The 22253-nt window shown below is 45.8% G+C and overlaps 1 protein-coding gene across 3 annotated transcripts in view, besides 2 other annotated features; it reads right to left on the reverse strand.

The window, feature by feature from the left end:
- Positions 2768-3669: an enhancer, noted in NCBI's record as "NANOG-H3K27ac-H3K4me1 hESC enhancer chr10:7593195-7594096 (GRCh37/hg19 assembly coordinates)". NCBI's record gives its function as "activates a minimal SCP1, AML or CMV promoter by ChIP-STARR-seq in naive H9 embryonic stem cells {active_cell/tissue: H9 hESC(naive)}" and the evidence as "EXISTENCE:reporter gene assay evidence [ECO:0000049][PMID:30033119]".
- Positions 3670-4571: an enhancer, noted in NCBI's record as "NANOG-H3K27ac-H3K4me1 hESC enhancer chr10:7594097-7594998 (GRCh37/hg19 assembly coordinates)". NCBI's record gives its function as "activates a minimal SCP1, AML or CMV promoter by ChIP-STARR-seq in naive H9 embryonic stem cells {active_cell/tissue: H9 hESC(naive)}" and the evidence as "EXISTENCE:reporter gene assay evidence [ECO:0000049][PMID:30033119]".
- The window catches only part of ITIH5 (inter-alpha-trypsin inhibitor heavy chain 5), a 107697-nt gene continuing 96248 nt past the window's right edge, over positions 10805-22253 (reverse strand). For all 3 annotated transcript variants that reach the window (NM_030569.7, XM_011519713.4, NM_032817.6), the window contains 3 exons: positions 21203-21319; positions 17565-17942; positions 10805-14919 (listed from right to left, as the gene is read on the reverse strand). In NM_030569.7, the coding sequence (NP_085046.5) occupies positions 14618-14919; positions 17565-17942; positions 21203-21319 (797 nt within the window). In that variant the 3' untranslated portion in view covers positions 10805-14617. The remainder of the gene's footprint in view (positions 14920-17564; positions 17943-21202; positions 21320-22253) is intronic.

Below are 22253 nucleotides of genomic sequence, written 5' to 3' on the forward strand. Positions count from 1 at the left end.
CATATTGCACTATGGGGGCCCAATCTTTTTCTACTTTGGTGAAATGTCCTGAATCTCACCTCTGAGAATACCTTTCTTGCTGTGTCCTGGCATAGCTTCCTGAAACTGTCGGAAGAGGTCTTTTATTCCTTATTGATAATCTGGAAATAGGGCTCTTTTGAAAACCTTTTTTTGTTTTTCCAAAGGAAAAAAAAAACCCAAAGAAGATAAAACACTGAATTAAAAAGAAATAGACTCTTTGTGGCCGTCTATATTTTCCAAGGTTTCATGTTTTTAACAATGAATATGTATTATTTTGCAATCGGATACAAGCTGGGCTTTGTTTGTAATTGACAACAGAGGGCTATCAGCCCAGCTACCACTGGAAGCAGAGTGGTATTTCAGAGTTTGTTCTCTCTCCCCACCACCTTTGGGGCGTCTGCTTCATGTAATTCCCACCCAGAAGCTCCCCTAATGAGGGGTGCTCATTCAAGGTCTCCCACAAGGAACAAAGCATTTTCACATTTTCCAAAGTCCGTTTCATTGTTGAAATATTGTAATAGAAAGCAGGATATATTTGCACTGTAATTTTAGAGCAATTTTGGAAGTAGAAACATTTTGTGGGTCTCATCTCATAGACCTATGTCCATCCAGGAACTTCCTATCTTTCTTTTAAAAGAAAAGATGTCAGGTTTGTCAAAGATCAGATGGTTATAGATGTGTGGTGTTATTTCTGAGGCCTCTGTTCTGTTCCATTGGTCTATATGTCTGTTTTGATACCAGTACCATGCTCTTTTGGTTACTGTAGCCTTGTAGTATAGTTTGATGTAGTATAGTCAGGTAGCATGATGCCTCCAGCTTTGTTCTTTTTGCTTAGGATTATCTTGGCTATAAGGGCTCTTTTTTTGTTCCACATGGGGGGAAAGGGGAGGGAGAGCATTAGGACAAATACCTAATGCATGCAGGGGTTAAACCTAGATAATGGATTGATAGGTGCAGCAAACCACCATGGCACATGTATACCTATGTAACAAACCTGCACATTCAGCCCATGTATCCCAGAACTTAAAATTTAAAAAAAAATTTTAAAGAAAATTTTTTTTAAAAAAAGAAAAAATGTAAAATTATTGATACAATGATCTGACGTTCAGGTCATCATTTGGTCCATTTTGATTATTTTGAATGATGACAAAGACCAGTTATTAAGACATTTTTTCATCAAGGTTTAGCTTCTTGCTGTGGGAGGGGGGGTCGTAGTGTTCTGGGTTTATAGATGAGAATGAGAGGTCCCAGGGACACATGTGGTGGAAACTTTGCCTTCACTGGAGTGTCAACCCAGTCATGCCCTTTAGGCTGGATCAGAAAAGCAGAGATTTGAAAAATTATGCTACATGGCTTCTGTGCAATCATTCGGGTGACTTATTAAGAAGGATGGGAGCAGGTGCAGTTTGCAAGGATTTCATAAGGGGAATCTCATTAGCAGGAGAGGAAGGAGAAGAGAAGACCTACCCTGTCCCATCCTACAGAGAAACTAGATGTTGCCCTTCAGAATTTATATTTTGGGTTCTGTTATCCATTTGTGCTTTTTCATTTTGCCTCTGGCCTCTCAGGAAACAAAGACAGCCCCTGTTTAAGGATCAAGGCCCCCACATTGAGGAATGGAGGGTCCCCTTTCTCTTACTGAGGGCCTAGACAGATGGTCACCATCTAGGGGCCAAGCTGAACCATGTGTCTTCAGCATCCTGGCAGCATGCACAGCTCTGGGGACCCAGCCCATCCCAGGCTGTGCCCTGATGGAATGGGCTGGAAGCTTCTGGCAGTGCCAGTCTGGGATTTCCCTGGCCGTCTTCCCTGTGTCCTGCTCAGCCTCTGAGGATTTTTGTCAGAGAGTAAAGAACTCAGAAGGCTTTTTAAAATTGTGCTAAAATATGCACAACATAAAGTTTATCATTTTAACCATTGTTGTATGTTATTCTTTGAGTGTAGTTAGTGCATCAATACTCACAAATAGGTTTTGTCTGTAATTTTCACTCATGCAATTTGTCAGATTTTACTATCACTATGATGCTCACTTTTTTATTGTAATAAAACCATATAACATAGAATTTACCATCTTAACCTTTTTTTTTTTTTTTTTTTTTGAGACAGTCTCACTCTGTGGAGTGCAGTGGCGCGATCTCGACTCACTGCAACCTCCGCCTACTGGGTTCAAGCAATTCTCCCACCTCAGCCTCCCAGGTAGCTGGGATTACAAGTATCCACCATCATGCCCAGCTAATTTTTCTATTTTTGTAGAGACGGGGGTTTCGCCATGTTGTCCAGGCTGGTCTTGAGCTCCTGATCTCAGGTGATCTGCCCACCTGGGCCTCCCAAAGTTCTGGGATTACAGGTGTGAGCCTGTACACACCTGGCCCATCTGAACCATTTTTAAGTGTACAGTTCAGTAGCATTGAGCAATTCACACTGTTGTGCCACATATCTCTAGAACTTTTTGTCATTTAAAATGGAAACTCTGCACCCATTAAACAGTAACTCTCCTTTCCGCTCTCCTTGAAATCACTGGCCACCACCATTGCACTTTCTGTCTCTATTACTACTCTAGGGACCTCACATACATAGAATCATGCAATATTTGTCTTTTGTGACTGGCTCATTTCACTCAGCATAATGTCCTCAAGGTGCATCCATGCGGTGGTATGTATCAGAATTTCCTTCCTTTCTAAAGCAGAATAATATCCCACTGTCTGTATCTATTCATACTATATCTGCTTACCATTTTTCCATCGATGGACTTTGGGTTGCTTCCACCTCTTGGTAACTGGAGGAATGCTGCTGTGAACTGTGAACACGGGTACACACATCTCTCTCCAAGGCCCTGCTTTCAGCATCCTTCATATATAATTTATTAGATGAGAAGCACATTCACGTGGTTTTATGTGGATCCCAAGGACTGAGATTAACCACACACGTTTCAGTGACACCAATAAGGGCTGTCACCCCAATCTCCAGGCCTAGAAAGGGAAATATGGGGCATTTGTGAGGCTGGCTGCGATCTCCCAAGAGGATGTTTCTCACCAGCTTGTCTGGGGGTTGGTCGGCAGCCAGCAATGTCCCAGCACAGGGGCCAATCCCAGGGCTCTGCTCATGGCCACAGCGGTTCAATGAGTGGCATCCTGGACCTGGGCCCTCCCTGCTGCCAGGCCCACTCCTTCCCTCCTCTTCTCACCCCTGCATCAGGGCCCTGCATGCTGCGGCCTCCCCCTGCAGACCCCCCAAGTCCCCAGAGCCAGAAGCTGAGCCGCCCAACCTCGGGGGTCCTGAGCAAATTGGGCCTCCCTCTTCTCCTGCCTCTCCAGCAACACAGCCCGCCACCCCATCTCCCAGCACCCCTCCCCGCACGCCCTTCCCTCTCCACAGGGTGCTATAGTTTCCAGGCTGGACCGTGGTGTGGAAAAGGTGCCTCCGGGTTTATCAGAGTTCATCGGACTGTCTCACAGCAGGCGCCAGGCTGGCAGCATCGCCTCGACTTGAATTTCAACCGTTTTCTCTGCTTAACACCTCCCTGGGCCATCCCTCCACCCCCTACATAATGAGCTCCATTCTTTCCCAGCTCTCAGTGGCGACAGCAGCCAAGCCCTACCGCATGGGGACAGGAATTGGCTGTACTTAACCTGCTGGGTTTCTCTCTCCCTTTCTTACCCGTCTGTTCAGCTGTAACCCTAGCAGGCCCCGCCAAAGAGGGGCGCCAAGGTGTTTGCTTCAGGGAGGACCTGAAGCAATTGGTCCCAGCTGGGAGCCAATCACTCAGGCCTGGCTCTGTGCTGACCGTGTGGTCAGCGGCGGGTCACTGGGTGTGAGCTTCCCTGTGACCCCCTAAGCAAGAAAGAATAGGCTCGCCTCTCCCTGACCTCACAGGGAGGTCTTGAGAACTGCTTTGACCTAAACGTTAAAGTCCTGCAGAGGGAAGTAATTGAAGAGTTGTGGCCACAGGAGGTCAGAAACCAAAAAACAATCCTGGATATTGTGCCCAAAACTCTGCTCACTGCAAGGGGTGGGCCGTTGGCAGTAACCCGGGAGTGCGGGTCATTCCAGGCCCCCAGCTGGATGAATTAGGCCTAAGTCATAGCCTGAGGGCTGGAGGCTTGGAAGGACAGCCTGGCTGCCCCAGGACACAGCAGCAAAGCACCCTCCATGGTGGAGGCTTTAGAAGGAGATCGCGTGGCTCAGGACCTCCACCTGGGAGTTAGCCTTTTTCTTTTTTTAAGAAAGAGAGTTGGCTGGGCACAGTGGCTCATGCCTGTAATCCCAGCACTTTGGGAGGCCGAGGCAGGCAGATCACTTAAGGCCAGGAGTTCAAGACCAGCCTGAGCAACACAGTAAGACCCCATCTCTACAAAAAAACAAACAAAACAAAAATTAGCTGGGCATGATAGCACACACCTGGGGTCACAGCTACCTTGGAGACTGAGACACGAGGATCCACTGAGTCCCAGAGGTCAAGGCTGCAGTGAGCCATGCTCACACCATTGCACTCCAGCGTGGGCAACAGAGGAAGGGCATATCTCAAAGAGACAGAGATTGTGAGAGAGAGAGAGAGAGAGGAGTCCCTCTATTTCATATTTCATCAGATGCTCAAAGTGTCCAGCACTCAAAGGGGCTAAGCATCTCATCTACCAGGGTCCCTTCGCCTCCTGCTCCCTGGTGATCTGTAACTTGCCACTCCTTCCTTCCATCGCCCTTTGCCCTGCACTCTGCCCTCCAGTACCAGGTGCCCTGGTCGACATGAGCCAGCAGGCCAGAGGTATGGGATCTACACCATCTCCCAGACAACGGGCACAAAAGAACAAACGAGTAGGGCACAGGGTGGGGGGCACCCGCCTCGCAGGGGAAACTCAGCTCAGGAGGCTTCCAGCGATCCTCAGTGAACCTCAGAAACTAATGACCCTTCCCAAGGATGGGCAGTGCTGGATTCGAAGTGGCTTCGTTCACCTGGGTAGCGCTGCTGACCGAGGATGTGCAGAGGAAGAATGACTTGGAAACTTTTCCAAAACGACATCCCCTCTGGGTCCTGGGTTCTCTGCGGCAACCCCAGCCCCCCGCCACTCCCCTTCTCTCCAACCCACAGGAGCTCATCCGCCGTGCCCAGGCCCCATCTCGAGTCTACCTTCCCCTCCTTTCTTTCTCGCTGGCTGCCAAACGTCCATGTTCTCCCCAGGACTTGCTTATCTCCTCTGCAGAAACCAGAGCGTGTTCCCAGCACAGCGCAGGATAACTGACAGGGAGAAAGGGAAGTTCCCTGGCTTCCACCTGCACCGCTGTGCCAGGTGTGGCCGGTGGCTCATTAATCACATCCACAGCTGCATTGTCTAGGCCTCTCCCAAGAAGACAGGTGACATGGAAAAGCCACTCATATGCATGTGAGTTCTGTCTCTCTTTATTTCATCCCCAGTTGTGGAGTGGTGCCCAACCCACCTCTGCCCCCCAAGAGGCTCTCCACCCCCAACCCCAGCTCCCCAGATATGTTTCCCGTCCTTCCAGCTCACAATGATTTACTTCCGAAAGCTGCTGATTACGAGATGTTTCCGAGGATGTCATGTCTAAGGAAAAGGGAGAAACATGAACTTGGAGCCGACCTGTGGTCTCTGGGCTTCCTGGGGTCTGAGGCATCAAGAGAGCAAACGTGGGCCCAGCAGAGAGGCCTGGCTGCCCGGCCAAGGCTTTTCCACTGTGGGCCCCACACTCTCCCCCTCTCTAGCCAGGTTTCTTTCCAAAAAAAAAAAAAAAAGCCTTGTCCAACAATGAACACTTGGAAGGGGCTGGTGGACTTCCTAAGGTGGCCCCGTCACGTCCACCCATCAGGAGTCCCTGCCCACGCCCATCCTGGCCATTGGCAGAAGCAGCACAACATGGGCTACTGCAGACGCCACTTTTAGACAGAAATAGGCAGCTCCGAAACCACTGCTTCTGGAGGTGAAGAAAGGCCTGGGATGCGCAGGGGGTAGAAACAAGTGGGATCCTGGACTCAGGTGCAGCAGCCCACGGCAGTCACTGTAGACGCTGCTCTTGTTTAGTCCAGAGCCTCCCAGAGTCATGAAAAGAGGAAGGGCCTCGCAGCCAGGCCAGCCTGATCCCGCACATTAGCTCTGTGATGAGGGCAGGGGATGACTCTTCTATACAATTTATTTTCCTTTTCCTTGGAGAGTTTTTGTTGTTGTTGTTGTCGTTGCTTGAGACGGAGTCTCGCTCTGTCTCCAGGCTGGAGTGCAGTGGCGCCATCTCGGCTCACTGCAACCTCTGCCTCCCAGGTTCAAGCAATTCTCCTCCTTCAGCCTCCCAAGTAGCTGGGATTACAGGCATGCGCCACCACGCCCAGTTAATTTTTTTGTATTTTTAGTAGAGACGGGGGTTCACCATGTTGGCCAGGATGGTCTCGATCTCTTGACCTCGTGATCCACCCGCCTCAGCCTCCCAAAGTGCTGGGATTACAGGCGTGAGCCACCGTGCCAGGCTGAGAATTTTTATGATAAAGAAAAAAGTTATTAGATTAAATGCTCCCCGACATGTTTCCCCTCCAATGCTGGCCGGTGCTGTAAGACCCAGATCCAAGGCCAACTCCTCTTGCACCCCAGATAGCACGATTTCTTCCTTTTGAAGCCCCCATCCTTTTACCAGAACCTCTCTAAGACAGGCAGCTGTCCACCTCTTATCATAACTAATTACACAAAACATTATCTCCAGGGAAGGACAGGAGGCATGCTCTGTCCCCTGTACATAGTCAGTGCCCACTGAAGATTAGTTGAATGAATGAATAAGTGAATGTGTTTGTTTTGAAGCATTTTCTCTGCTGGGAAAATTGCATGAACAATTTGGAATGCTATTGTCATTCAGTAATACACACAGTTTTATTCTATGTTATCTTCATCATTTAATTTCCAAAGTGCTCCATTTTAGTTTCCCGGGCAGACAGATGAAGAAATTGAAAGGATAAGCAGTTGCCTACAAGTTCTAGGACTTTCAGCTTCTAGAATATTCCCAGGCTCCAGCCCTCTTCAGTTTTGAGCTGAGCCTTAAATTGCTTTTGCCTTCCCATAGAAAGGTTTGTTTTCTTCTGTAACTTTCCCTGTGGACCTTCAGAATAGAAGCTGGACTTCGGCCTTGTGTGACATTTTACTTTTTAACATTTATAGGGCTTATGTTAACTTCGTGGCTGAAAGAGTCAAGAAATAGGAGGCAGACTTCCAGTGGGAAATTGAACCAAATAAAGAATGAAGCATTCAGGCCTTCATTCACACTCAAATATCTGCAGCACTGTATTTTCTACACTGCCCTTACTCACTTCTAATAAAATTTGTTATTTTTTTAAAAAGCACACACAAAAGCATGTACAATGAAGTTTGTACTCATAGTTCAATGAAGTTATTTCATGGGCATGTCAATGAACTTAGTACATGTGATTTTCAACTTATATAACCAGAAATTCCCAGGAAGCCATCAGAACACTGGGTCTTCTCTTGCACAAACACAGCTGTTGTTCTGAGGACATAGTATGATTAACAGAGAATTTTCAGGAAGAACACTGTGTCAATAAAAATTAATTTGGGTTGGCTTCCTATGAAATATACCATATATATATATGTATATATATATATATATATGTGTGTGTGTATATATATATATATATATATATATATATATATATATATATATATTAGAGAGAGGCATTTTTTCACCTTTATTTGCAATGTCCAAAATAGAAAAGGATGGTGCTGGAATGTCTCCTTCCTTTTGGCTCCCAGATCCCCAACCTCAAATATCTATAATATAAATATAGTCACTTTGAAGATAGAAAGTTTGCTTTAACTCCTAAATTTGGGATGATTCCAGAATAGCTAAAGGGAAGTGACTTTGAAAGAAATCAGCACTGCAAACGTATGTTCAGAGCCACCAGTGTGTGCAGAGGCAGATGTGGAAACCAAGACATGGATGAGATCACTAAGGGGGAAAGTTCAGGGTACCAACGAGAAACCTTAGGGTACGCCTACAGGTTGGTAGGAAGAAAGAAATTCATCAAAAGAGACTAGGAAAGATTTTAAAAAACCAAGGCGGGCAGATCACCTGAGGTAAGGAGTTCTAGACCAGCCTGGCAAACATGGTGAAACCGCGTCTCTACTAAAAATACAAAATTAGCCAGCTGTGGTGGTAGCAGATGCCTGTAATCCCAGCTACTCGGGAGGCTGAGGCATGAGAATCACTTGAACCCAGGAGGCAGAGTTTGCAGTGAGCCGAGATCACACCACTGCACTCCAGCCTGGGCGACAGAGCAAGACTCTGTCTCAAAAAAAAAAAAAAAAAAAAAAAAAAGATTCACACCAAAGAAGCAAAGGGATCCAGCATCTCATCAAAGAGAAACAAAGTCACTCTACAAAAGAAACAGAAGAAACAAAAGAAACAAAGTCAAACTACTCAACAGAGTCACGTAGTGGACGCCGAAGGCACTGATCGCTGGAGGGGACATTGAGATGGCAACGTGACGTCTAAGATGTGGTTCTGTTAATAGGGTGAAGGCAGAAGCTGAATCTGATGACTTAAGCAACTGACTAGGGCAGAAAAAAATATAAGGGTTCACATACCAACCACTAGAGCAAATTCAACAAGGAAATAAAAGAGAAGGTAGAAGCCCCAAGGGAGTGCAAGCAAGGGACAATAGTTTCAGACTAGAGGACATTTTTGGAACCATATCTGAAATCAAGAGAAAAGCACCTGGTGGAAAACAAGAATCTAGAGGGAATAAATGAGGCAACCACTTGAGGATGTGGGAAAAGAGGGGATCCAGAGTGGAGGGTGACAGCTATGCTTGGAAGGAAGGGGGTACCAGCTGATAGAGCGACGCAAAGACACAGACCCTTTGATACGAGAAACAGTAAAGGAAGGAGGAGTTCCTGCCTCAGATTTCTCAGCAAAATAGGAGGCAGGGCCATGGAGGGAAGCTACGGGGCTCAGTGGCATAGGCAGCTGAAGGGGAATGGAGTGGCCATCGAGGCAATGCATGGGAAAAAAAAAACGATCAGTTCTGTCCAACGCTGGCAGGAGCCCTGCGGGTGGGATGACCATGGCAGGGTTCTCTGACTGTCCCCAGGCATTCTTCGTATCTCAAGAGAGGGAGAGGGGATGTGGATGCCACACTGGGGACCCATCTGGCATGGGGCAAGGGTTTCACCAAGCATTTTCCATGGTGGGTTCTCAGAGGCCACCAACTCACCAGCGCCATGCCTGAAACTGTACGGAATAAGAAGATTGCCACAATGTGGGAGAAGTTCCTGGCTGCGTGACATCCTAGGAAACATGTGACTGCCTCTGTCCACGCTCCTCTTCCTTGCAGCTGACTGAACTCTCTCTCCATCTTTGGAGTGGTTTCCTAACCCCCTTCCTGCCTCCATAGTTGTCCCTCCTCTGAGCTCAGATAGCCCTCGGCAAGTTTCCTTACAGTATTGATCACACTCTTTCTATCTTTGCATTCTTTCTTATTTATTTATTTATTTTTAAGACAGAGTGTCACTCTGTTGCCCAGGTTGGAGTGTAGTGGTGCAATCTCAGCTCACTGCAGCCTCAACCTCCGGGCTCAAGCAGTCCTCCCACCCCAGCCTCCCAAGTAGCTGGGACTACAGGCACGCATCACCACGCCCAGCTTATTTTTAAAATTTCTCTAGAGATGCAGTCTCCCTATGTTGCCCAGGCTGGGCATTCTTTCAACATCCTGTTCTAAACTAAGGATTCCAGAGAGGCATGAACTTTGTTTTCCTTGGAATCCCTGGGCCTGACACACTGGAACTAAATACATACTGGAGTCACTGAATGAATAGTTTAGCATTTTTCACATGGCAGCTCAGGAAGCATCTTTGTCTGAAGGCAGAAGATAAACATCACAGGACTGTAGATATTACCTACTCCAGTTCCTTTATTTTTTTGAGACAGGGTTTTGCTTGATCACCCAGGCTGGAATGCAGTGGCATGATCACAGGTGCCTGCAACCTCAACCTCCTGGTCTCAGGTGATCCTCCCACCGCAGCCTCCTGGGTAACTGGGACTACAGGTGCATGCTGCCACACCTGGCTAATTTTTTTTTTGTATTTTTTGTAGAGACAGGGTTTTTCCATGTTGCCCAGGCTGGTCTCGAACTCCTGAGCTCAAGTGATCTACCCGCCTTGGCCTCTCAAACTGCTGGAATTACAGGTGTGAGCTGCCACGCCAGTCCCTTCATTTTAAAGCCACAGAAGATGCCAAAAGCAGAGATAAGTCAACTTGAGTCCTTGACATTAGTTGTTCACTTGTTTTCTCTTTAACACAGCCCACCAGCGATGCCTCCTTTGTGTCCTATGTCTGTTTTGGTTCTAAGCATCTGTTGTCCCGTTCAGCTTGTAATATAGCTCAACCGAAATCTAAACGCGATCCAGTAAAACCACTCAGAACCGGAGGTAGGAGTGCCAGAACCACGAGTTAGAAATGGCACCTAGGAGGGAAATGACCCTGAGCCCAGTGGAAGCAGCATCAGTCAAGACGGTGGGCAAAGTGTGTGCAAAAGAGTACCCAATAATGTACTGGTCCCAATAATGATCAAAGTTTGGGATGCTAGAATCCCCAGACGGGAATGGACTGAGAGGTTTAAGACCCTCCGGTGTACCTGACAGTTTCAGAAGAGCACAGGAATCACTGCTGTGAATTTGCTGTTCTCTACAATAAATTGTATTACGTTAACATTATTCTTCCCATGTTGCTACCCCATTTACATATCATTGTGTGTAATTCAGAAATGCCTACAAACAAGCAGTGCAGTTAGATTCTTCAAGTTTTATTCTCAACAGCTCCAATTCCATTTTCCCTTAGAAAAATAAACAGACCAATATGTTGTTTGTTTTTATGCATCGTTCTCTTATAAATTTTTTGTCTAAGTAAAATGTCTCTTGAATGTGAACTGTCTCGTACCCCACTAATTATTTAAAACTAAAATAAATATTTAAAGCTACATTTATAAGTATTTGCTTAGCTGTGTTATTTGTTATTTATTTTAGCTGGATCATGTCCTACAGTTCCAAGAGTCCTTTAAATTTTAATAACAGCATTGTTTGTGTACATTCTGGGAAGCTTAAAGAACAGAAAAAGAATTAACGTTTTGAATGATTTGGTGTCTTAGTCAGCTTGGGCTGCCTTAACAAGAATACCACAGACTTGAGTAGCTTAAACAAAACACATTTATTTCTCACAGTTCTGGAGGCTGGGAGGTCCAAGATCAAGGTGCCAGCAGACATGGTGTCTGGTGAGGGCCGTCTTCCTGGCTTGCAGGTGGCCATCTTCTCATCGTATCCCCAGGTGGTGGAGAGGAAAAACACCATCTCTCCCATGTCTTTTTTTTGTTTTGTTTTGTTTTTTTTTGACGGAGTTTGGCTCTGTCACTCCAGCTGGAGTGCAGTGGCGTGATCTTGGCTCACTACAAGTTCCGACTGCCTGGTTCAAGCGATTCTCCTGCCTCAGCCTCCCAAGTAGCTGGAACTACAGGCACGCACCACCACGCCCAGCTAATTTTTGTATTTTTAGTAGAGACGAGGTTTCACCATGTTGGCCAGGATGGTCTCCATCTCCTGACCTCATGATCCACCCTTCTCGGCCTCCCAAAATGTTGGGATTACAGGTGTGAGCCACTGCACCTGGCCCCATGTCTCTTCTTATAAGGGCCTTAATCCCATTCGTGAGGGCTCTGCCCTCAAGACCCAATAACCTTCCAAAGGTCCCAATTCCAAGAACCATCACATTCAGGATTTAAGCTTCAACATATGAATTTGGGGAAGACATATACACTCAATCCAAGGCATGTCGTTTAGCCAAAAGTTAAAGTTAAAGGAATGAATCCTGTTCCTAATCCACCTATCAGGACACACGATTCAATTAAATGTTGAATGTTACTCCCTAGAGAAACACAGAGGTGCCCACTCCGATTCCCAGTCCCCGGCCTCCTCAGCACAGCTGTGGCACCGAGGGAATCTTGTGATGGTTTCTCCTCCCAACATCCCCTCCCTTTAGCCTGAAGTTGTAAAGCATTAAAAAGTCAAATGGAGGAAGATGGTGCACCTAGCATGGGGCCGTCGGGGGTCAGGGGAGGATAGAGAACAATGTTCCTTCATTTTGAAAGGCAGAGATGCTGACTTGTTCAAGGTCCCAGTTAGTCAGTGATCATGACACATTAACTATTGTGATAACAAGGAGATTTATCTCCTCTAATTATGACATATTTCTTCATCTCATTCAATTACTCATTTTGGAACAACCCTCGCCCTGGTTTATAAATGCTCAAGGAAAATAAATGATTGCCCAGATGGTGAAACAGGGTCAAAGCAAACAAAATGATTCTGGAGGTTCAGTGTAGCCCTGCATTAAGTATGTTGTATGACTTGGCAAAAACCACTCCACGGCACTCTCTGCCTCAGTTTCCCTATCTGGGAAGATTTTCTGGACAACAGAAAATACTATATTTTTTTTTTATCAAATGCAAAGGTCCTAACTATAAGCTTGGTATGGGGTTTCGGGCTTTCAGGTACTGACCCCATTTGAAAAAAAAAAAAAAGATCTACACGTAAAGAAGAGGAAGAAAAAAGGTGATATTTTTCTAAAGTAAAATATAATTTTTAAAAATGAAAGCTCAACTTTGTTACTTATGTTTTTCTGAGCAAGCAAGTTAGCTATGGATAGCTCATTGGAATGTTTTTCTCAGCTCTTAAAGTAGCAACACAGGCAGTAGGAACTGGTCTTTCCTAATAACGTCCTCATTTCTGCAGTGTCGAGACTTACACCTGGAACAACAGATCACTGCTCCAAGTGCTCCACAGGGGACAGGGCCACCTGGCTCCAGGGCTGTCTGTCCAGCTGGGATTTACATAATAGGAAGGCCCCGGGGAGCCTGGCCAGCTCCCTGGCTACCTCTAGCTGCCGCTCCCTTTCTCTGAGCTCTACAGTCTGAAAGCATCTGTCAGCAGCACTGGCTGGCAGCCTTTGCACCTCTGGCATGAATACAGGCAGCTGAGGTTGGGAAGACGGAAGGCAAATAAATAGCACAGCAGACAGGCCCTGGTGTGGTGGGTTCACGAAGCAGAGAGAGACGAGCCCAGATAGTCCCCCAGCGCTAACTTGTTCCCGAAGCCGCTGCGTCCGACAGGAACACGTGGATGTCATTTTACTGCCTGAATGTTTCCCCAGGGAAGGCAAACATGATAAAGAATTTTCTTAACTCAGCTTTTCCTCCCAGTGCTAAGCATGCCTTCTCATTTCACGCGGGGGCTGCTCTGGTGTCAAGCCCCGTGGAAGAAGCCTCTTGTGAGGCCAGCCCCAGAGCCTTGAACTCTGGCCTGCATCGAAGCATTCCACTTCCCCGACCACAGTCTTTCTTTCTCTGCTGTTTCGCCCAAGCGCTCCCGGTATCCGTCCGCTGAAGGGTGACGTTCATTGACTCTGGAAGTCCCCTCTCATCTTAACCTTTTCCTTAAGGCATCAGGTTTGTCCAAGTTTTGGAACCAAAGCCCCTGTCCACGAGCTGGTTTCCTGACTTTTTTTCTATCTGACATGAGGGAAGCTGGAAGTCCTAGATTTCCTAAGCACCGACACGCTTCCTGCTATAGGTGGGCTGGTGGACCTGCTCTGAGCCGGCTCTGCCTCCCGTCCTAGCACTGTGCACATGTAATTGATCACCTCCTGGATGACCACAAGGAAAAAAGGTCTGGGAACTATGACAAAGGCTGGAGAGCTCCAAGTAAAAGATGCATCATTCACTTGGCCAACTCTTCGTCACCAAGACATGCCAGTAAAATCAACCACATGGAGTTGTCCTGTGTATGAAAAGCCCTTAGCTTATTGGAACAAATTGGAGAATAGCCATTAGCAAAGTCAAGTGGTTTACAAAGCCCATTAGAAAGAGATCAGTATCTGAGCTGTAGATGTTTCTATTTTCAATCAAATTTCTTTTTAATGAAAACTAATTTTTAAGGGCAAGATACCACAGCAGAAGAAAAACGTCTTGCAAGAAAAGACTTCATGGTTTACAACGATCAAATGTATGGGCTATTTGCCTGATTGGTGGCCTGGACTCAGCAAGAGATTCCTTTGCAGCAGAGGTTGGCCACACATCTGGGGGCTGCAACACCACTGAAAAGACAGCTTTCTAAGCATTAGTGTAAGGCAAAAAGCAGAGTGCCTAAACTTGTCCATTTCCACCAAGAAAAAAAGTTTCATAGCAACCTTCCTTCACCAGAAAGGCTTACTTTATGATATGCTAACAGAACAGAAAAGCAGGTTGGGACAAGATACAGACTTTGTTGCATTTAGCTATGACCCTTCTCTCCCCTCTGTGGATGTGGGCAGGGTGGGGAGAGGCAGGAAGAGGCAGTAGAGGGAAATGACATTTGCACTCAGGCTTCCCGCCCCTACCCACCCCTACCCTTCGCCCAGACAGACGTCGGATCTATGCTGCACCAGGGGTGGGTCATGGAGTCCAGCTAATTGCCAGGAGCTGAGGCGTGTACAAGCCATGAAAAGAGCTGCCCCACGGCCTCCCCACATCACTGTCCTTCATGCACTTGCATCTTTAAGGCTGCCAGCTTCAGAGCTCCCTGGACATTCCCCGGCCAAGTGTCATCCCTGTGTCAAATGGATGGGATGCCAGGTAATCCTTGTACTCCCCGTCAATCAGTTTGGCGGCATTGTTCCTGGCAAACCAGCAGTCTATCTGCTCTTCCCCGTTGTAAATCTTCCTTTGCTTCCAGACCACTGGGACTTGGTGGCCTTTCACTGTTAGGACGGCCTCAGGCCCCTCTCCCACCTGAAGGAGCAGAGGGTGAGTGAGGTTCTGGCTGGGCCCTGCAGGGTCTTCTGTGAGTCTGGCATCCTGATTCAGGAACTGACCTGGGAGGACAAGGAAAAGCATCGGGTCTCAGTCAAATGCAGAAACCTCGTGCTGAACTCCAACTTCAGAGCTATCAGTGGCAGAAAGGCTTACAACTGGCCACAGCCCGAGACTGGACTCTCCCAGTGACATGGAAGAACATGTGCTCTGGGGGGCAGGGTGGAGAGAGCTGAGGATTTATCCACATTGTGGGATTTACCCATGACTGCTGGAAGCTTCCCAGCTGCTAACACTAGAAAGTTGTGTAACCTACACATAGTGATAACCACGGTCTCCTACTGAGTCCAGAGGACAGGACGGGGCATATGAAGAGGGAAGTAGTGTTCCATCTTCTCTCTGTCCTCTTCCCAGTCACAGGCCCGCCTCCTTTCTATCCGTCTCAGGTCTGTGCCGGGTGGGGGTGGAAAGCAGTCAGCTCAGATCCTCTCTGACCCTCGTCCTCAGGACTCTCCTGGTCAGATGGCAGCACTGCTCAGGCCACAGGAATAAAGAGCTGTGTCTGCAAGGGGAGCTCATGCTGGGCCGCCAGGCCCCACGAAACGCGGCCAGCTCAAGAGCCAGGAAATCCTGCCTACTAAACTGAACCCTGACAATGGCTTGCTCTTTATTTTTGGGCAAGGGGCCCACATGAAATTACACGTTGAAGAAAGCTGGGTAGAATGGCCCGCCTGCTGGGCACGGCCACGTGGGTGCCCCCCCGGTGGGGGTGTCGCTCAGGCTGGGCGCTGGGCAGGGCTGCCTCGTGTCTGTGTATTCTTGCTGAGAGCAAAGGAACTGGACCCTCAGGTGACTACATTTTAATTCCTCATTCATTTTTCCAGAAGGCTAAAGAGAACTACTGGTTTATAAAGCCCATTCCTAGCTCACAAAGCCCAGGAAGGAATCTAATTTTCATATTACATATGTAGTAATCTAATGTTCATATTACATATATAGTAATCGAATTTTCATATTACATATGTAATTTTCATGTTACATATATAGTCATGCACCACATCATGACATTTTAATCAATGATGGACTGAAAATATGATGGTGGTCCCATAAGATTATAATAGCATATTTTTAGTGTACCTTTTCTATGTCTAGATATGTTTAGATGAACAAATACTTATCATCGTGTTGCAATTGCCTGCAGTAGTCCATGCAGTCACATGCTGTACAGGTTTGCAGCCCGGGAGCAATAGGAGACACCACATAGCCTAGCTGAGTGGGTAGTATGCGACACTATCTAGAGAGGTTTGTGTAAGGATATTCTAGATGGTCACGTAATGACCAAATCACCTAACGACCATTAGAATGTATCCCTGTCATTAAGCAAGGCATGACTGTGTGTGTCGGTGGGTGTGAATATATATAATATGTACATACATACACAGACTGTGTATGTGTACACACACACATATATACAGACTGTGTGTATATATACACACACACACCATAGACTGTATACATACATACATATATACATACATACACAGACTGTATATGTATACACACACACATACATACATATACAGACTGTGTGTGTATATATATATATATACACACACCATACATACACAGACTGTATACATACATATACATATACACACACGTTCATACATATAGACTGTATACCTACATATATACATATATACATACATAGACTGTATATATATATACATATATACACACATAGACTGTATATATATATATACACACACACACACACATACATATACAGACTGTGTATATATACACACACCATACATACATACAGACTGTATATATAAACACACATACATACACAGGCTATATATATATATATACACACACATACACACACATCATACATACATATATACACAGAGTGTATACATACATATACACATATACACAGACTGTACATATATACACACACCATACATACAGACTGTATATATATATACACACACACATCACACATACAAAGATGGTATACATATATATATACATACACAGACTATGTATGTATATATACACACATATCATGCACACATACATAGACAGTATACATACATATATACACATAGACTGTGTATATATACACACAGACATACATATGTACATATACAGACTGATTATATATTATGTATATGTGTGCATATATAGACTGTATATATACATACTTATCAGTCTGTGTATACATATATACATACAGACGGTATATATAATACATATATACATGTATATTTATAATATATAATACATTATGTATATGTATATATGTATAGACTGTATATATATACACACACATACATATACAGACCATATACACATACATATACAGACTGCATATATAATATATATTATGTATTTATATAGAGAGACTATATACACATATGCAGTCTGCATGTACACATATGCATACATACAGACTATATATAATACATATATACATATATATGTATAGTATATAATACATTATGTATATGTATATATGTATAGACTATATATATGTACACACACACATACATACATACATATGCGGACTGTATATATAATGAAAACCACATTCCTATTGAATTTCTCAATCAAACGAAAGGTGTTGGCAATATCAGCTTTGCTTGGGAAATGTAACTCTGCCCTCTATGCCCAGCGTGAGGAGAGCGCAGCTTCCTACCCAGCAGTCCGTGGCAGTTGCTGGAAAGGCCCTCGCTGTTGGCAATGTAGAAACCCAGGTGGTGTCGCTGGAAGGGCGCCGGCTTTTTGTAGAGGTGGATGAGGATGACAAAGGCTATGGAGCCCTGGATGGTGACGGTGACATTGGCGTTGGCAGACACGGACACCTCCAGCCCCCAGCTCCCCACCACCACACTCTGGTTGCAGGGGAGCACCAGTCTGTCCCCACCATCCAAGATGACTCTGCTCGGTGTGATCTCGAGATAAGATCTCTCTGGCTTGTTGATGAGGATGGTGATAGTGCGCAAGTAAGTGCGCTGTTTCTTGTGGCCATTTGGAGGGGCGGGTGCCCCAATTAACTCTCCGTTCACTGTGACACCTCAAAGGCCAAGGGGAAAAGAAGAAGGTTAGAAAATCTGACCAGGAGTGGTGGCTCACACCTGTAATCCCAGCACTTAGAAGGCCAGGGCAGGTGGATTGCCTGAGTCCAGGAGTTCAAGACCAGCCTGGGCAACACAGAGACCCCATCTCTACTAAAAATAAACAATTAGCTGAGCATAGTGGTGCAAGCCTGTAGTCCCAGCTAGTTCACTTGAGCCCAGGAGTTCCCTTGAGGCCAGGAGTTCAAGGCTGCAGTGATCTGTGATTGCACCACTGCAGTCTACCCTGGGCTACAGAGTGAGATCCTATCTCATTAAAAAAAAAAAAAAAAAGAAGAAGAAGAAGAAGAAGAAGAAAGAAGAAAGAAGAAAGAAGAAAGAAGAAGAAGAAGAGGAAGAGGAAGAGGAAGAGGAAGAGGAAGAGGAAGAGGAAGAGGAAGAAGAAGAAGAAGAAGAAGAAGAAGAAGAAGAAGAAGAAGAAGAAGAAGAAGAAGAAGAAGAAGAAGAAGAAGAAAAGAAAAGAAAATCTATCCCTGCCCAACGCATCAAGTTAGAACTTCCCTCCTCCTTTGGGCTTATCTTTGTATCTCTAGTACCAAAAACATGTCTGACTTACACACAGAGGTCACTCAGTGGTCACCAAGTGAGTGAACAAATGAGGGAATGCGTAAAGTTATGTGCGGATTTTTTACTGTTGTCTGACCAGTATGTTGGGATAGGGGAGAGAGGATGTAGTTTTGGGTCAAGATATCGTAGATGGAGGCATGAAGCTAAGTATTTGTGCATCTACACACAGCTTACCATGTTCGTCTGGTTTCCTTCCAGTGTGGCTGTAGTGATAAGAACTCTTATATGACCCTGATACATATTTTGTACCTACCAGAGGCTGCTGATCCTAATTCGGACATCTTTTATTATTATTATTATTATTATTATTATTATTATTATACTTTAGGTTTTAGAGTACATGTGCCCAACGTGCAGGTTTGTTACATATGTATACATGTGCCCTGTTGGTGTGCTGCACCCATTAACTCGTCATTTACATTAGGTATATCTCCTCATGCTATCCCGCCCCCCTACCCTGACCCCACGACAGGCCCTGGTATGTGATGTTCCCCACCCTGTGTCCAAGTGTTCTCATTGTTCAATTCCCACCTATGAGTGAGAACATGCGGTGTTTGGTTTTCTGTCCTTGCAATAGTTTGCTCAGACATCTTATGATGCCACTGAGCAGTGTGGGAGAATGTAAACTTAGTTGTTGTTTTTTGTTTTGTTTTTGTCCAAAAACTCAAGTTCTTCCACTTAGGTGTTTGTCCTTAGACAAGTCAAAAAAAAACCTGTAATCCCAGTTTCTGGGGAAGCTGAGGCAGGAGAATCACTTAAACCCAGGAGGTGGAGATTGCAGTGAGCTGAGATGGTGCCACTTCACTGCAGCCTAGGCAACAGAGTGAAACTACATCTCAAAAAAACAAAAACCCTGCCTCAATTTCCTTATCTGTAAAATGGATGGACAGATGGAAAACCTAACAGAATTTTTGTGAGGATCCCAGAAGGTAGCATGTGTGTAAGTTGTAAACTGCTATGAAATAGAACTCCTTTTTTTTCTTCATCATTATGAACATCACTGGGGCTTTTCTGGACTTGAGCAAGGCCTGTGAACCAGGCCCCAGGGTTCCGTGCTGTCTGGCTGAATAACAAACAGATGGCGATTGCACTTGAGATGTTTGGGGCTGAATTAGGTGATGCATGTTAAATGTGTTTTGCTCTCAGGCAAAGCAGCAATTTGCAATAAGAAAAGATTGCTATATAATTAACTCTTGTTTTCTCTGCTTTGAGAACAATCTTCCCAGTAATCTTCCCAATAAAACTTCTTAGACATTCAAGGAAAAAAGGGCCTTCTCTGGGGCAAGGGGTCAGGGGAGAGGAGAAATCCCAGCATGAGAAGAGCCTATGCTCTTCCAGCCTCAAAGTTCTAAGCATTTTCAGGCTGAGTTCCCACCACGGACATCTCGCTGAAGACAGAAACCATGGGAACTGCTCCCAGAATAGGAGGTATTTCCAAGGACATATACAGTTAGGCCCCTATCTTGCTCCTGAGCCCTTTGAAATAAGAAACAGTAGAGATTTGGCTCTGAGGCTATAAAGTCCCACAAGAAAACATGTGTTGAAGGAACCCCAGGATCAAACTCTACATAATTGCATCACACATATCACCTGCTGGGGGACCCTGTGCAACCCAACATTCCAAGACACGTTCTCAGCAGTGAGGAAGTGCCGGGGTGCCCACTCCAAAGCTTGTCCTCACAGAGCTGGACATGGTTTGTTACCTGCATCGAACTTGAAAAGCTTTCTCTGTGCTAATCTCTTTCACCCAAGCCCTCTACAGACCAACAGGGGCCACAGAGCCCCTTTGTCCATACATGTTCACGGCACACAGACAGAACTGTGGATTAACATGTGACATCCCATGTAAGTCATCAAGAAACTGACATGAGTTTAGAACCTTGGCCTCCCCGGCATCACAGCTTTTGAATGGATAGACACTATGACAATAATACACAATAATATATTGTGGTTTTCTTTTCTTTTTTTCTTTTTCTTTTTTTTTTTTTTTTTTTTTTTGAGATAGAGTCTTGCTCTTTTCACCCAGGCTGGAGTGCAGTGGCATGATCTCAGCTCACTGCAACCTCTGCCTCCCAGGTTCAAGCGATTCTCCTGCCTCAGCCTCCCGAGTAGCTGGGATTTCAGGTGCCCACCACTATGCCGGGCTAATTTTTTTGTAACTTTAGTAGAGATGGGGTTTCACCATGTTGGCCAAGCTGGTCTTGAACTCCTGACCTCCGGTGATCCACCTGCCTCGGCCTCCCAAAGTGCTGGGATTACAGGCATGAGCCACCGCGCCCAGCCTACATAGCGGATTTCTAAAGCACTTCAGCATTTAAAAAACAACTTCATAACCAGTTTCATTTGATCCATTTTATATTAGCTCTGTGAGGCCAAGAGAGTGTTCCTATCTCCATTTTACAAGGGAAACAACTCCCAAGGCATGTGCCCAAGGTCACACGGCACTTGTCATAAAGCAGGGAGTCGGATGCATAAGTCCAGGAGCGCAGTGCGCTTCCCTTAACCACTGACGATACTCACTGAGCGTCTGTAAGGTGGCCCTTGGATCACTGGACATCCATCTGAAGAACAGAGGGGGATGCAGTACCTACCTGGTCCTTGCCCAGATGCTGCAGCGGAAGGTAGAACTTACCAGAGTCCCTGTGATCAGAGACCAGCCTGAGGATGTCCCCGGGCTGCCCATCAATGTTGAAGCACACGGTGAGTCTGCTCAGGGGGAAATCCACAACAAAGTGGGGATCACCATCCACTGCCAGAGCAGAAGAAAACGGAGAGAAAAAGAAAGACACTTATTCAGTACCTTCCTTGTGTAGGTGCTACTCTCTATTTTCTCATGAATTATTTTATTGAATCCTGAAAACTATTCTGGAAGGAGGTGTCCTCAATTTCCAGATGAGGAAGATGAGTGGGAGGGAAACAACTCCCCAGAATTACCCAGTGAGTTTGCAGTAAACATTTGACTTCAGGTCTTCTAAATTCCAATATAATGCTCCTTTCAACACACCTCAGCTCAGTCTAGACAACTAAGCTTTGAGAGGTGAGAGGAGAAGGAAAGAGAGATCCCCACACACCTTCAACTGGTACTCAGCCCCCATGCTTCCATTTCCCAGGGGGACATCCCTTGCTATTTGCTTTCTCCTTTAATGGCACAGATGCAGAGGACTTTCCTCCCTATGATGGGAGATCTATGGTGCTTCTTCTCCCAGGAAGCCATGGGCTACCCCAGGCTCATTCGCAGCGTCAGCTGTACGCCACCCCTGCACGCAGGCACTGAGAGCCATGCCCAGCTTAGATGCAGAGGCAAGGGAAGCAAAATGCGAGTAGGCGGCCAGGCGCACAGTCAGGGTGCTGGCGGAAACCCCTCCTTTGGGTCACTCCGACTTCACTGCTCTGAAATTTCTGTCCACAGATGAGACCGCAAAGTTCAGCTGACAGTTCTTATCTGTTCTCCTCATTTTCACCTCTGTTAAAGGTGAACAGCCTTGCCTTTTATTATACAGACAGAAGATTTCTTGAGAATCTATATCAATTCTCTTACCAGATTGGAGATTTACCTTCTCTCTAATTTATATTCCAAGTGCAATTTGTTTATTTTATTTATTTTTGAGACAGGGTCCCACTCTGTTGACCAGGCTGGAGTACAGTGGTGCAATCAGAGCTCACTGCAGCCTCAAACTCCTGGG

This window comes from Homo sapiens, chromosome 10 (assembly GCF_000001405.40).
Source record: "Homo sapiens chromosome 10, GRCh38.p14 Primary Assembly".
NCBI lineage: Eukaryota > Metazoa > Chordata > Mammalia > Primates > Hominidae > Homo > Homo sapiens.